Source organism: Homo sapiens, chromosome 15 (genome assembly GCF_000001405.40).
Source record: "Homo sapiens chromosome 15, GRCh38.p14 Primary Assembly".
Classification (NCBI taxonomy): Eukaryota; Metazoa; Chordata; class Mammalia; order Primates; family Hominidae; genus Homo; species Homo sapiens.
The window spans coordinates 54,337,246-54,355,010 of NC_000015.10; the positions used below are offsets into that span (position 1 = coordinate 54,337,246).

At 35.4% G+C, this 17,765-nt stretch overlaps 1 protein-coding gene across 7 annotated transcripts in view; it reads left to right on the forward strand.

Annotated features, from left to right (window-relative positions):
* Positions 1–17,765, forward strand: part of UNC13C (unc-13 homolog C) — a 795,839-nt gene that overhangs the window by 499,644 nt on the left and 278,430 nt on the right. For all 7 annotated transcript variants that reach the window (XM_047432538.1, XM_017022220.2, XM_017022221.2 and 4 more), the window contains one exon: positions 1,116–1,244. In XM_047432538.1, coding sequence (XP_047288494.1) covers positions 1,116–1,244 — 129 coding nt within the window. The remainder of the gene's footprint in view (positions 1–1,115; positions 1,245–17,765) is intronic.

Sequence of the window (17,765 nt, forward strand, 5' to 3'; positions counted from 1 at the left end):
TGGACCTCTTCTCTTCACTATCCATACTCAACCAGCGTTGTTTCTTTATATTCTTCTGTAAGCTAATAATTTCCAAATTTATATCTCTAACCAGAACTTTTCCACAACTGTAGATTCATTTATCCAAATATCTTCTTGAAATTCATATATATGCCTAATAGGCTTCTTAAACTGTTCAGAATTGACTCCTGAGCTCCCATCCACAGTTTTTCCCATTTAAATTGAAGTCACCTCCCTTATGGCAGTTGCTCAGGCTAAAATATTGGGGTCAACTGGAGTCAGCTCTCACACCAGTCATCCAGTCTGTCAGAAAATCCTGTTAGCTCTTTTTTTCTAAATTTTACCAGAATATGATTTCTTCTAATAATTTCTAATTCTACCACCTTGATCAAGCATCATCTTCTCTAGACTAAATTGTAACGCTGTTCTCATAATTGGTCTTTCTATTTTTTTCATAGCCCACTTTAAGGCAGCGTAAGGGAGCCTTATAAAAGTTAGTTGTTTTGCTAAAATTAGGCCATTTTGCTCTTATGCTTAAACTATCCAGTTCCTTCCCACCTCGCTAAAAGCTAAGATTTTTATAGTGGTCTATATGTAGTTTCCCCTTGTTCTCACCCTACAGCTTCATTTACTCTTGCCGTTTATTGTATTAATTCTATTCCATTGAAACGCTTCCCATCCTTCCTCTGTTTTACTTTTCAACATGCATCATCATGTAATATATTTTACGTATTTATTTTATTATCTACTTGAACTTAAGCCCATGAGGAAAGGGATTTTTGTTTCTATCATTCATTGCTGTATCACCATTATCTGGCATATAGGAAGTGATGAATATTTGTTGAATGATGGAATGGAATGAAATCAATGCATGAAGTACTAACTGGTCACGTTAAGTGTTTTTATTTGAGTGTTTACAGCCATTATCATTTTCAATAAGTTTTTATATCAGAAAGTTAAAATGTTTACACATTTAAAACCACATGGTAAGATGACACTTACTGAACATAGAAAAATCGACTGAAAGTATTTATTGAATATATATTTGAGTAGTTTATACTAGATTACAATGTGTCACTGTTGCATTTGAGAAAATAAATGTCTGTCTTTGTCAGGTTCTGGAGCTGCAAAGCCCCCCAAAAGCGAGCATGGTGGTGAAGGACTGTGTAAGGGCTTGCCTGGATTCTACATACAAGTATATTTTTGACAACTGCCATGAACTCTACTCCCAGCTAACAGACCCGGTAAGAAAATATGTATGTCTTTTATAATCGCCACTTTTGTTTCTAGTATCTGTTTCCATAAGTTTAGCATAATAGTAAATAGAAAAGTATGTTCATTTAATTTCACATTAACTGCAAATTTGAGAATTTCCATACCTTTTCTTCATATTTGAATATCACTTTCACATACATGAACTAATTCGCTCCTTAAAATAACTTTATCTAGTAAAGGCACATATTATTTAAGGTTTTAGCTGGAGAATCAGTTTCAGAAAAATGAAGACATTTTCTCAAGGTCACAAGGTAGGTAATTGGCAGATTTGGGACTAGACATTAGGATTCCAACTCCTGTTTCTATGTCCTTCCCCTAACTCATACTGCCTCCCATATCATTTTATTTTATTTATTTGTTTTTTGAGATGGAGTCTCACTCTGTTGCCCAGGCTGGAGTGCAGTGGCGCAATCTCGGCTCACTGCAACCTCTGCCTCCGGGGTTCAAGCGATTCTCCTGCCTCAGGCTCCCCAGTAGCTGGGATTACAGGCATGAGCCAGCATTCCCAGCTAATTTTTTTTATATTTAATAGAGACGGGGTTTCTCCATGTTGGCCAGGCTGGTCTTGAACTCCTGACCTCAGGTGATCCGCCCGCCTCGGCCTCCCAAAGTGCTGGGATTATAGGCATGAGCCACCACGCCTGGCCTATATGTTAATTTATTAAGAAATATTTCAAAAATACAATTTAAATCAAAACCACAATGAGATACAATCTCACAGCAGTAGTAATGGCTATTATTATTATTTTAAATTTTTATTTCCATAGGTTTTTGGGGAACAAGTGGCATTTGGTTACATGAGTAAGTTCTTTAGTAGTGATTTCTGAGATTTCGGTGCACCCATCACCCAAGCAGTGTACACTGAACCCAATTTGTAGTCTTTTTTCCCTCACACCCCTCCGAGCCTTTCCCCAGAGTCCTCAAAGTCCATTGTATCATTCTTACGCCTTTGCACCCTCATAGCTTAGCTCCCACTTATGAGTGAAAACATACAATGTTTAGCTTTCTATTCCTGAATTACTTCACTTAGAATAATAGTCTTCAGTTCTATCTAGGTTGCTGTGAATGCCATTAATTCATTCCTTTTTATGGCTGAATAGTAGTATTCCATTATGTGGAGATATATATATATATATATATATATCACAGTTTGTTTATTCACTCGTTGATTGATGGGCATTTAGGCTGGTTCCATATTTTTAGAATTGTAAATTGTGCTGCTATAAACCTGCATGTGCAAGTATCTTTTTTGTGCATGGACTTCTTTTCCTCTGGGTAGATACCCAGTAGTGAGATTTCTGGTTTAAATGGTAGTTCTACTCTTAGTTCTCTAAGAGATCTCCACACTGTTTTCCAAAGTGGTTGTGCTAGTTTACATTCCCATTAGCAGTGTAGAAGTGTTCTCTTTTCACTGCATCCATGACAACGTCTATTATTTTTTATGTTTTTACTATGGCCATTCTTCCAGTAGTAATGTGGTATTGCATTGTGGTTTGGATTTGTATTTCCCTGATCATTAGTTAGGTTGAGCATTTTTTCATGTATTTGTTGGCCATTTGTATATCTTCTTTTGAGAACTGTCTATTCATGTCCTTATCCCACTTTCTGATAAGATTTTTTTTCTTACTAATTTGTTTGAGTTTCTTGTAGATTCTGGATATTAGTCCTCTGACAGATGTATAGATTGTGAAGATTTTCTCCCACTCTGTGGGTTGTCTATTTACTCTACTGACTGTTCCTTTTGCTGTGCAGAAGCTCTTTAGTTTAATTAAATCCCACCTATTTATCTTTGTTTTTGTTGCATTTGCTTTTAGGTTCTTGGTCATGAAGACTTTGGCTAAGCCAATGTCTAGAAGGGTTTTTCTGATGTTATCTGCTAGAATTTTTATAGTTCGAGGTCTTAGATTTAAGTTCCTTGACCTATCATGAGTAGATTTTTGTATAAGATGAGAGATGAAGATCCAGTTTCATTTTCCTACATGTGGCTTGCCAATTATCCCAGCACCATTTGTTGAATAGGGTATTCTTTCCCTACTTTATATTTTTGTTTGCTTTGTTAAAGATCAGTTGGCTGTAAGTATGCGGGTTTATTTATGTGTTCTCTATTCTCTTCCATGGGTCTATATGCCTATTTTTATACCAGTACCATGCTGTTTTGGTGACTATGGCCTTACAGTATAATTTGAAGTTAGGTAATGTGAGGTCTCCAGATGTGTTCCTTTTGCTTAGTCTTGCTTTGGCTGTGTGGGCTCTGTTTTGGTTCCATATGAATTTTAGGACTGTTTTTTCTAGTTCTGTGAAGAATTATCATGGTATTTTGATGGGAATTGCATCAAATTTGCAGATTGCTTTTGGCAGTATGGTCATTTTCACAATATTGATTCTACACATCCATAAACATTCAGAATGGCTATTATTAAAACATCAAAAAACAATACATGCTGGTAAGGCTGCAGAAAAAAGGGAATGCTTATACACTGTTGGTGGGAATATAAATGTGTTCAGTCACTGTGGAAGGCAGTATGGAGGTTTCTCAAAAAACTTAAAACAGAACTACCATTTGACCTAGCAATCCCATTACTGAGAATCTATACAAAAGAAAATCAGTTTTTCTACTAAAAAGATAAATGCACTCATATATTCATCACAGCACTATTCACAAAAGCAAAGACATGGAATCAACCTAGGTGCCCATCCATGGTGGACTGGATAAAGAAAATGTGGTATATGCACACCATGGTATACTATGTAGCCATCAAAAAGAATGAAATAATGTCCTTTGCAGCAACATGGATGTGTCCGGAGGTCATTATCCTAAACAAAATAACGCAGGAAAGGAAAACTAAATACTGCATATTCTCACTTATAAGTGAGAGCTTATAAAGATGGGAACAATAGAAACTAGGCCTACTGGCAATGGGAGAGGGCTTAAAAACTCACTATTGGGTCCTATGTTCAGTACCTGGGTAAGGGGATCAGTCGTACGCAAACCTCAGCATCACACAGTCTGTTCAGGTAACAAACCTACATATATACCTCATGAATCTAAAATAAATGTTGAAATTATTTTTAAAAATTTCAGGAATACAAAAAAATATAGAAACCAAATCAAACATGTATATGCTTACTACCTATAACCATGTTAACATTTTCCAATATTTCTCTGCTCTTGTTTAAAGACATTAAATGTTACACATAAAATAGTATTTTGCTTGGGAGGCCGAGGCAGGTAGATCACGAGGTCAGGAGATCGAGACCATCCTGGCTAACACAATGAAACCCCGTCTCTGCTAAAAATACAAAAAATTAACCAGGAGTGGTGGTGGGCACCTGTAGTCCCAACTACTCAGGAGGCTGAGGCAGGAGAATGGTGTGAACCCGGGAGGCGGAGCTTGCAGTGAGCCGAGGTTGCACCACTGCACTCCAGCCTGGGCGACAGAGCGAGACTCTGTCTCAAAAAAAAAAAAAAAAGTAGTATTTCGCTTTGTATTTCCCAATCCCATCCTACTCCTTTTTTGTCCATTGGAGATGGACACTATTCTAATATTGGTGTGTTTGAACGTATTTTCACATATGATCAATGAACGCTTGAGTTTTATGTTCTGTGAATTGCCTGTCAATCTTTTGTGTGTGTTTCTCTTGGTTTTCTTGTCTGTTACTTATTAATTTATAGAAAAATCTAAAAATATTGTGGATACTAATCCTTTTTTGGTTATATGGATTTCATAGATTATTTCCCTCTTGATGACACATCTTTTTGTTATATTGAAGTTTTCTAATGCATACTATGACATATATAGCTATTACTTCTATAAAATTGGATTTTACAAATGTAGTCTAGCTTGGGCAACCTGGGCAACATAGCAAGACCCTATCTCTACAATTTTTTTTTTAATTAGCTGTGTATGGTGGTATGTGTCTATAGTCACACCTACTTAGGAGGTTAAGGTGGTTAGAGTGAGTCCAGGAATTGGAAGTTAGAGTGATCTATGATTGCTCCACTGCATTCCAGCCTTGGTGACACAGCAAGACCCTATCTCTATTTAAAAAAAAAAAATGTGTCTATCACCTGTCCTTTCAGGAAGAGTGCACTTGGTCCACTAGATATTAAAAATTGTGTAATTATCCATGAAACATTCTGTTTACTTGGGAGAGGCAAATTCTAGAAAGCAATGTTAGATGAAGGCAAGTAAGACTCTTCCAAACTGGATTTTTAGCTAGGTTTCATATAGTATATTTCTGGGGTCACTGTTTTTTGTTTTTGTTTTTGTTTTTTTTGTTTTGCTTTATAAGAAAACAAATTAAGCTGAGTTTGGCATTGCATAAGCAAAACAATATATAACCACATACTTGTTCATAACTTTAGCTTATCAACTCTGTTAGATATGCTTAGTTTTAAAACTTGGTCCTCCAGGATTTCTAGGAGCTAAATTGGTGCTCACTTGTACTTTCCCATGAGTAGTTTTCTAATGACTTTTCTTTGTCTAATCTCTACTTTCCATCTTCCTCCCATAGGGCTCTTTCAATTCTTTTACATTTTTCAACATCATTATCTTTATTTTACCTAAAGGCTAAGATTGAAACTTTTTATTGTACCATGTAATTACCCATGCATAACTTTTTTTTTTTTTTTGACAGAGTTTTGCTCTGTCACCCAGACTGGAGCGCAGTGGCGCAATCTCGGCTCACTGCAAACTCCGCCTCTTGGGTTCAAGTGATTCTCCTGCCTCAGCCTCCTGAGTAGCTGGGATTACAGAGGCCCACCACCACGCCTGGCTTATTTTGTATTTTTAGTAGAGACAGGGTTTCACCACGTTAGCCAGGCTGGGCTCGAACTCCTGACCTCAGGGGATCCACCTGCCTCAGCCTCCCAAAGTGCTGCGATTACAGGCGTGAGCCACCGCGCCTGGCCCCATGCATAACTTTATAATCAATCTTACCAGACTTTACCAGGTTCAGTTTCCTACTCCTCACACTCCTGAACCAAACTGCTCTGCTCTCATGAGCCCTAAATTTTATAATTTCCATGAATCAGCCATCCTTTTTCACATCCTTGCATTTATGCATCCTGTTCTATATGCCTGAAGAAATTCTCCCTCCTTCCCTGCTTTCATCAAAATCCAGCTCAAATATGATCTTTGTCAAAGAAAAAATTATTCATTACACCCATTAAAGAATGGTAAGGCAGACTATTCAAAGAGTACTATTACAATAGTTACACAGGAAGGCTACCCCAATAGGATTTTATAGTAGAAAAGAGAAATTGGGCTCAACTATGAATACCACAAGGAAAAGTGGGAATTTATAGCCAAGGAGCTGAGTTAAGGGGAGGGGCTTACTGGATAGAAATTACTAAGAGTTAACATTTGGGGTAAGGGGGGGTCCTGGCTAACAGATCTGATGGGATTCTTGCTGAAGGCAGACCAGGGTGATCAAATATCACCAGAAGCATTGTAGAGGAAGGAAACCTGATCAGATACCAAAGTGTGATCATATATCAAAAATGAAAAATTCTGGCTAAACTGAGAAGATTCTTGCTAAATTGGACAATGCAGAAACTAACATGGAAGTTCGAAAGTTGGGGCCTGGTTAAAAAGAGAGCTCAGAAGAGTTTGATCAAAGTTTGGTCAAAGAGAGAATCTTTATCATTTCCTCATCTACTAATTAATACTCAGTGGATTAATTAAGCTGCCAAAGTGAAGTGGCATACCTTACTTGATGTCTTTCTAATACATAAATAATAACAACAACAATGATAAACGAACAGTTTATTTCTGTAAGAGAGCTTCGTAGGTAGTTCCCATAAAGCAAACGTGCCCCTAACAAAAAGTAAATGAATTATGTCACATCAAAATAATCTAATATAGCTTAATATTTTATGACTTGGCTTTCAGAAAAGATAATTATATAATTTTCTTACTGGTTTTATTTTTAGGTAGATAGATCTTAGATTTTATGCGAAATTTTGTCAATGTAGGGAATGCTTGGGGCTAAGCTTTAAATCTTGGAAAAATACTTTTTCATCAACATTGTTATTATTTGAAATTCTAAAGGAAGCATCCATTGGAGCTGAATTATTTAGGGGGTTAATGCTCTCTCGAGCCCTTTTGAAGCCATCTAGGAATACTTCATATGATTAAGGCTTATCTCCCCTCAGTTGGCTGCAACTCCATGCTCCTAAGAGCTCAAGTTAAGACCTTTTTGTCTTATAGCATACGTCTCACCTGTCTTCAAATTCTAATTATTTAGTTCAAAATTAAATACCTTCATTTCAAAATATATCCAGAATCAGACCACTTTTCACCAGATCCATGCTTCTACCCTGGCTCAAAACCATAATCATTGTTCACTTGGATTACTACATAACTTCCTAAGAGAGCTCAATGTGTCTACCCCATCATCTTATGTCTGTTCTCAACAGAGCAGCCAGAATTATTTTTTAAAAAAGGAAGTCAGATTATATCACTCTTCTGCATAGAATGTTTTAAGGCCCTTCATTTAAGTTAAATTCAAAGTCCTACAAAACTCCACATGATCTGGCCTATGTTACGCTTCTCACCCCTCTTACTCTAATGCTGTCCCCTTGCACATGTCACCATGTGACTGGAGAGCCAATGAAGAGTTGATGTGCAGGGAAGTAATGTGAGCAATGCTTTACCCCTGCTTTTTATGACAGAGACAGAACTTAGGACAGTGCCGAGTAGGTGTTCACAAAAGCATTTGTTTAATGAACTGAATACATAAATAAACTGATTTTTCTCCAGTAATACAGTAAGAAATTATAGGTATATTTCACCTATTATAAACAAGATTGAATGAAGTGCCCTATTCTGTGGTAGACTCTCAGTGCTTGCCTAAAGCCTCTTGCACTTACTCTGGGTCATGTGGCAGGATCCCAGATGAAGAGATATGGGAAAAGTAAATGAAGGCCACTTCTAGTCCCAACCCATAAAAACATCTTGTCACCTGCAGTGCAATAACCTGGAAGGATACATATTGCAGATGGCATAGCTACCAGGTGGTGAAGGGCTGCCTAGTCAGCCTCGGACTTTGGGTGTTTAAGAAATAACCTTTTATTGCATTAACTCACGGATATTTGGATATTTATTTGTTACCATAGCACAATCTGGCTTATTTTGACTAATAGAACTTCAGTTACTTTTCCAACCTGCCACCCCACTATATATTTAAAATATATCCATGTTTACGTGACTATCCTATTTATAACTCTGGACCAGCTCCCCATTTACTCAGAGGATGAAGTCCAGACTCTCCCATTATCCACAGTGCCTCTAAGGTCTAAGCCTTGATTATCACTCCTGACTTCAACATCATCTCCACATTGCATTCCATGATTCAGTACATTAAACTCCATGGTGACTTTGCCTGCCTTATATTTACCTGCCTGGAGCGGGCATCCCTTCTCCAAACTTCCCTCCAAACAGCTAACCGCAGCTCAGCTAACTTTTTCTTCAGAAAGCCTTTATACCTCTTCTAGCTGGATTTGGTGTTTCGGTTCTCTATTCTCATAATACCCTGACATGTCACCACCACTGCACTTATCACGGTGAATTTATCAGGTGCATCATGTGATATCAGTTAGACCTGTCTTCCCGGCTAAACCGTGAGTTTCATCTTTGTATTCCCAGTGCCTGGTGGTATACCTGACTCTGAGTAGGGTTGATAAACGAAGTAATTATCTAATAAAAATAACATTTAAAGAAAAAGGCAGTGCCTTAGTTACTTATTTGTAGTATCCTTCAGTGACTCTACATTAAAACCTATGGTAAGGAACATAATCTCTGATATTAAAACCCCTGAGTTCAAATTACAGCTCTACTTTTCAGCATTGTGGACTTTGTTAAGCTATTTAGCCTCTTCATGTCTGGTTTCTTCATCATATTCATGCTACTTCTGTTTTCTTTGAATCTTCTCCAGATAATATGATGCCTTGCCTGAAACAAGAAATTAAGAATTCCAGCACTATTAGACACAGTACAGTCTGATTATTTAAATGTGGAATCATACTTTCTCCCTCCAGAGGGATTTTGAAGAACCATATAAAAATAAAATGCTTAGAATAAGAAAGGAAAATCGATTTGATAGAAAAGTAGAGACAGCTGCAGTTAGAACAAGATAGAAGTGTGGTCTCCGGAGGCTGGCTCTGCACTCGGTAGGTGGTATTTTCCTTGGCTGAATTGCCAGGCTCCGCATCTGCACTTCAGTTTAGCTTAGGAACTCCAATGTGTCAGTGTAGACAGAGGTCACTGGACTCACAGAGAGGTACACAAAAGATCAATCTATAAACTGGATAGATATCTATCCAGCAGATACCTAATCAGCCCTATTATATGCCAGGCACTGGTGTAGGCTCTTAGGACATATCAGAGAACAAACGATAGTTTCTTTAAAATAAAAAATAAAATTTCAAACAGATTGAAAGTGTTTTAGTTTATACTCTCCCAGGTGAACATCTATGTGAAAATAAAACCTGTAATCCGAAGGTTATTTTAGGAACCTGGAACAAGAGCAGGATGAATTAGCTGGATAATATTAATAGTGATTATTGCTAGCATGAACACATCCATTTTAATAAAATCTACATAAAGAGACCCCCTAATTGTGGAATGAGGAGGATAGATAAGACTTTCTTTTTAAATGTGTTTTAAAAGAATTATGCTGAGCTAATGTCAGCATTAACTCAGTTCCGTGGAAACCACTCAGCGAAAGAACTTTTCTGTTGAACAATGAAAACCTTTATTAACTGATTTTACAGTCTCCCTCCACACCTACCCTGAGATCAAAACTTGTTTACACAGAGATCATCCACAAGAAGATGTCAAAAACCAATAAAACCTTTCTGCCTAAGATTCTGCTATTTTAAATTTATATATTTTGGTAAATTTTAAGTTGTTTATTGAATGACTACCTAAGAAAATTGTATTAAGATATGCCTTAACTAAAACACATGTACACTTTTAGTTCTGAAGCACACTTAGGGACTTTTTAAAATCTTATTTTGAATCTGATTAGAAGGTTTGTAACTAAAAACAGGAACAAACGAAAGTTCTTGACATTCATGTGATGATTTCTTTTGAAAATCATTTCTCCAAATGACTGTGTTTTGCTATAAGGCAGCATGAGTGATACAGATAGATGAATGCAGAGGAAAATGTGCTACCTACAAGTGGGAGTTGTATGTAAAATCAGTAGAAACATATTTCTCTCTTTATTGACTTTTGGATACATACACACACACATGCACATATATGCTTAGTCTCTTTGTTTCCCTCCCAAGTCAAATTCTCTCACTTCTTATCTCAAAGGAAATCTCTGTTATGAATTTCTTATTAGCTTTGATGAACATAGTTTCATCTTTGTGTACATTTATTACATATATCTATTATTTGTGATACAGTCTTTATCTCTATCAACCTGTGATATAATACATTTTAGAAATAGGTAATACAGTATTATTGTTGTATATACTAATTCTAGAACCAGATTGTCTAAATGTAATGATTCTTCTATAATTTTTAAAGCTCAATATTAATTTTTGAGAGCTATCTATGCTGATTCATGTATGTACAGTTTGTTGATTTTTACAACTGCCTACAGCATGTACAGCAATTTACACATCAATTCCGATTTTTCACAATTACAGATAAGGCTGCAATGAATATCTTTGTAGTAGGTGTGTAAAAAATTCGGTATGGTCTCTTAAAGGAGAAGGGAATATCCTCCTTTCCTCTACTTTTTCCCTTCCGCTAGACAGAATGTGGACCTGATTTTGAGCCATCTTGTACCATGTGGACAGAAGCACCCTTTACTTTTCACATGCATTAAAATACCTTTTGTCTGATACCCATGGTAACATTGAGTTTAGTGAAAACAGAAACTCTATTTATCTTAATATTGAATTTGTAGCATATAACACTGTGCAGAGATCAATTAATGCTTACTAAATGAAAATTCTATCAAAAAACATCTCTTTGTATTAGACGGAATGTGATATGTATACCACAATTTTGGCCACGTTATCCTCTGAAAATTCTTTGAGAGAGAAAATATCACCGTAGAATAGTCTAAAGGGGCAACTTACCTGAATTTAAATGTGGAAAATTTCAGAACGTCCATGCTTGTTTTGTGGATGTATCTTTCTCAGTTATTTTAACCCAAAAAGTTGATTTAGCAATTTGTCTTTTTCCCTTTCTTTTGGTTTTGCTCTAGCCAATTTCTAAATAATTCAGCAATGAAAGAAAAGTTAAAATGTGCCCTGAAATGTACATGTAGAAAAATATCCAATTCTGTAACTCTTAATTTGAAACATGATTTAAATAGTAATCATTACAAAACTGGCTATAATATGTCCCTGACTTTTCTTAGATATTTTTCCAGCAATGTACTTTCTTATGTAATCATTGGCATTAGTTAGGGAATGATGTTTATTCTGAAAGATAGGTGTTTTTTACCACCTTATGTGCTCCTTGTCTTAGTTCTAAATCTGAGTAAATATAAGCATAACTTAGAGTTAATATGTTTATAATTTGATATATACAAATATATCAAATTATAATTTATAAAATATTTATATTTTATAAATATATAAAATATCATTTGATATTATATAAAATGTATAGAATAAATGTTATGAAAAGAAAATTTCTTTTTAAATGCCAGCTTCATGACTAGTATATAAAATTTTACTTGTAACAAGAAATTGTTCAAAATGAGTAGTATATTGCCATGTCTTATGTATTTTAAAGAAGAAAAATATATGAAAATTCAGAGCCTGAAAAATGACTAGCCAGTTATGCTTCTATCACTATATGCTTTAATTTTCATAACAAGGTAAATAAAGTAAAAAATGAAACCATAATAAATTCTGAAAATATCAATAACATACATAGTATGTTGTATTAGTAAAACTAGTGAAATTTTGATTCTAAAACTGAATTATGACAATACATGAAAAAAATTATAACCTCACGTTGTTAATAAACATTGATGAGAAAAGTCTAAGTAAAATATTAAATATTAAAGAACATGACTTGGTCAAGTAATTTCATCTCATGAATGCAAAAATGGTTCAACAATACCAAAAAAAGATCAATTATAAATTTAATGGTGATATGGGACATTGGAACCTTCATGCACTTTCAGTTGGCAAGTAAGCCGGGAGCCAGTAATCTAACTCTGGGTACATATTTTCACAAAGTTCACCAAGGGCATGTTTACTAGGATATTCAATATAGCATTGTTTGTGAGACTGAGGAGATGGAGGCAACCCAGGTATCTTTCACAGAAAAATAGATCCATAAAATGTAGTGGGTACATATCATGGAATATTGTGGGGCACTTAGGAAAATGGGTTAGATGTCTACATAGTAACATGGATAAAAAGTAAAAACAGTGATAAGTGGAAAACAAGGGAAGAAACATAATGTTGTATATTAGCACAATAATATTTTCCTTTTTTTTTTTTGAGACGGAGTCTCACTGTGTCGCCCAGGCTGGAGTGAGTGCAGTGGCACGAACTGGGCTCACTGCAAGCTCCGCCTCCTGGCTTCACGCCAGTCTCCTGTCTCAGCCTCCCAAGTAACTGGGACTACAGGCGCCCGACACCACTCCCGGCTAATTTTTGTATTTTTAGTACTGACGGGGTTTCACCGTGTTAGCCAGGATGGTCTTGATCTCCTGACCTCGTGATCCGCCTGCCTCGGCCTCCCAAAGTGCTGGGATTACAGGCGTGAGACCCCACGCCTGGCCTATTTTTCTAAAATTTAGATAAATACACAAAACAATAATAAACATTTTACAAGACTGAAAAAAATAGGCAAACACCAAACTCAGTATGTGGTCTTATGTAAGTCAAAAGGACATGAAATTGTAGAATGGTAATTAGAAAGAAATAGAAAGATAAGGATGACGGATGGAATGAATCGGCAGGCAGACAGGAAACTTGCATGATCTAAATTCTTAAACAAGGTTCTAACCTCTCCTCCAACTCAAAGAAAAAAAGAGTAAGTCTAAAGGTCTGCAGTAAAATATGCTATATTTGTGGTATCTCTGGAGTCAATTACCTAAACTTTGTATAACTTTTCAATTGATATGAATTTAGCATCTAACAAGTATAAAACTCAGATTTAATGTTGACTCTTTCTGCCCCACGTGGCCATACACGAAATTGAAATGGCGACCTCTGAAATTGTGTCGTGTTATAGCCATAAAACTGCTGTAGTGGAGTCAAGAGGTATAATCAATATTGTGTCATGTGATTTTTATTTTAATGTGTTCCTTCTTCAGAAACTTTCATTCTTTAAAGATGGTTTTCCTTCACAAATGGTGATAGGAAAAAATGAATTCATCTACAATGTGCTTCTTTATATTATAATACTATCAAGTAAGTTGTTTGGAACATATAATATTTCACTGAAGACTATAGTTTGAGTTATTTCACTTAAAATTTTTCTATTTTTCACATTGTGACTTTGTATAATAGTTACCCAGGAAATTGATGAGTCTTGAATCTGTTAGTTTTAAAATATAGTTGTTGATTGGGATGGGACATTTTAGTAAGTCAAATTACTCCAAGCTCCTGAAAAGTCCAGTAAACATAATAAATTGGAAACATAATTTTTTTTTACAATTGTTTGACTCTAGTATTTCCCAAATTTCCTGCTGCTAAAGGGTTCTTGGCTACTTCAGAAAATACAGGATATCCAGTGAAGTGCGCAGGAATCTGTATTTTTTAACAAGTTAGTAGAATGATACGTGACATTAAGCAACTATTCCATTAAATAGAACTTTGTCACTATGGATTCTGATATTCTATTTACTTTTTAGTTTTTCTTTTTAGTAAGTATCTAGAGAAAAACTTGCACTGAAAATTAAACTGTGAAAAGAACTACAGTATGTAAAAAATCTGTTTAAGAACTGTTTTTGCCTAATAGTCTGTATTATTTCCCAAGGCTTGCGCTCCTCTTCCCCAGCTTCCCAGAAGTTACACAGTTCTTTATATAATTCCTTTTAAAGAGAAGAAAATGGTAGATGTTACTTGTATTACTGAATCCTTGGTAAAACAATACAGCAATTAAGATCAACACGGAGGCAGTATGGTGGAGTATATTATAAAACCCTCCAGTGTAGGAATTTTATCTCTCTTGCTCACCAATGCATTTTTTATATCCAACCTAACGCTTCACATATACTAGGCATTCCATAAATAGTGGATATAATAGTTGCCATTTTTATTTATAATACATGTGAATCAAAACCATAAGATTTTAATTTTAATTTTAGTTTTACAACTCAACTAATTATAACAAATTAACAAATCACTCAGTAGCCACTGTTTTCTCATCTCTAAAATAATGCAATATCTTTTGTCTCTACTTCAGAGGTAGTAGAACTCTGATTCTAAAATCAGGAGGTGTTTACACTTAGGGAAGCATCTAGTGAATTAGAAAGTAGTGTAGAAACATAAGTAATTAAAAGAGAGAAATATACAGAGATAGAATTAAAGTTAAAATATCATTTACTCAGTGATTTCATTGAAATCTTGGGGTGAAAGTTAAATATGAAATTTTAAAGCAAGAGGTCAGGAACTCTAATCCATCTAAAATTCTCTCTATATGGTTAAGTTTAATGCATTTTTAATTGCTATTTTCAGCCTTCCAGGAAATACTGATGTAGTTATTCTCATAGTTTTGATTTTGTTTATATATTGTGATTATACAAATATATAACACATATATACATTTATATAATTATATTTATATAATTAATATATATTTTATATAAATATAATTATATAAATGTATATATATATATAGAGAGAGAGAGAGTGAGTCAGGTTATCCTCTCTGAAGAATATTATTGGTCATAATTGTTTAATTCATCACCAGCAACAAAATCATGTGAATAAAATGGTGTTGCATTAATGAAATGGTATCTAATGTGCTGATTAGACATAGTCTCTTTTATTAAAAGTCTCATATTTTGTAGCATGTTTCTTCTAAAGTTCCTGATTCGTCAGAACAGTGTCAAACAGAAGGCATAAAACAAAAATACAGCAATTAATTATGCTAAATTCTAGAATATATATGTATTTTTGCTATCACTCATAAGTGGTGTCTATATATAATCTCTGATAGATGGCTAGCAAAGACAGACTAGATTGTAATAATCCAGTAATCCAATTTCCCCTTGCTCTCTCCAGAACAAGTTAATGGATAATGGAATCTCACCAGGAAATGAATTGGTCCCTTTCTTTATTTCCATGATGCGTTTTATTTTCCTTAAATATGCTATATGGCTCTCTATAGAGGTGTTCAATTTTGTTACCATTCCTTAAAATATCTTATTGAAAATGCAGTTTATGTATCCTGTTTTATTGATTTTTACAATTTTATCTATTGAAAAATTCTATCTTTGAGACGTTCTTCTTTGGCAATGGTGAAAATGGCCAAGAGGAAGCATTCAAAATTATGCAGGAAGATTAGTTTTGAGCTTTCTGTCTCATACAGGAAAAAGGATTTAAATGTAATTCATTTATTCACATATATACAATAAATAAAATTTGTTGACTTCTTGTTGTGTACCAAACACTAAGAATAAGAGAAATTTCAGTGAACAAGACAAACACAGTCAGTATCCTCATGGGACTCTAGCCAGAGAGGTAGACATTAAAAAAATTATTAGACCAATAACTGAAATAGTGTCAGATGCCAGGCAGGCAGGGAAAATATAATGCAGTATTAAAAGAAAAACCCATCCTAATCTGGGATGTAGGGAAGAGTAGAATTTAAAATAATATGGTTTCTGTTAGAAATACATCCAGACAGACTCTGCTGGAGGTGGTAATTCTGGAGATGTGTCCCTACAAAGACCAGGGAAATGTCACAATCAATCAATCAATCAATAAAACAAAACAAAACATTATCTTACTTTCATTTAAAATCCCAGTGTAGTAGTACCTAGAATTCTATAGACAGTTGTATTTTTCATCGCAGCGAAGAGGTACGGTAGAATCACTTTCGTTGGGCTTCTGCTAAAACTATCTTAGCTCTTTCATCTGTACTGTGCCTAAACCAATGGTCAATCATCTGGCCTCATTTACTTAACCTATCAGAAACATTTGTTATTGGCCACTCCATCCTTCCTAAAATACTTTATTTTCTAAATGTCTAATTGCTATTCTTACCAGCTTTCCTCTGACCTCACTGACTGCTCCCTTTTGAATTATTTGCCAAATGCCATCCTCTACCAGGCCTGTAAATGTTAGAACTCCTGGGGTTCTGTCCTTGGCTTTTACTCTAGCTACACCGCTTCACACACAAAACAGTCCCATAAAAACTTGGAGGACGCCAACCAATTGAAAAACAGAGTTGTCTCCAGGCCAGGATGAAGGAGGCAGACCCTTTTGCTTTGATTCTGGAAACAGCTCTTACAATTCCTAGGGAAGAATTGGTTGTCCTGCCTGCTTCATGTCAGCAAATAACCTTGTTTTGTTTTGGCAAGGAGTGGATGTCTTAGGAAGAGATGCAGCTTTGAAATCAAACCCACCTGGATTCAAATAGAGGCTCCCATCAATTAGGAAGCTATTGAGTCTTGGACAAGTTACTTCGTTCTTCTAAGCCTCAATGTTTTCATTTAGAAAAAAAAAAGGATAACAATAATTGCTCATAGAATTGCTGTGAGGATTAAATGAAAGAATGTTTGTGAATCATCTTACTCATAGGTATTCAGGAGATGGTCCTTTTCTTTATTCCATCAATACTTGCCTTGTTTTTGTGCTAAATTCACTGACCAGACAGGAGTTTGTGCTATAACACCATGCACTGAAACACAAACAGTTTTTGATTCGGTGCTGCTTCTACTGATTCTGTTAGCCTTATAAAAATGGAGGAGATTATAACACACAAAATACATAGTTTGCTGGACCTACCAGGATTACTCTGAAATGCATATACTGTCACTCTCCATCTGCTTGCAAAGCATCTTCCAGGTATTTGGAAGCATTGGAATGTGCTCTCTAATTAAACTTGGCACTGACAGCCTATAAAAATTACTGGAAATGTACTTCATTGTGCTTTTCTTCTTTTTGGCCACACAGCTTCTGGAATAGGTTTCCTTCAGTGATAGTAAGAGGAACAAGGTTGTACAAACCAAAGTAGTACTTCCAACTCAAGGAATATCTCAACTTTACTGTTACTCAAAGAAAACAACTTAAAGATCAGTGCCCCCAAATTCTGCATAAAATGTAACTTGGAATTAAATAATATGGGAATAGTTACTTGCTATGGTTTGAATGTTTGTCCCCTCTAAAATTCATGTTGAGATATAATCCCCGATGTGGCAGTATTGACAGATGAGGCCCTTAAGAGGTGATTGGGCCACAAGGGCTCTGCCCACATGAATAAATTATTTCATTTATGAATTATTGTGTTAGTGGGCGATCATAGGAGTAGAGTTGATGGCTTTATTGG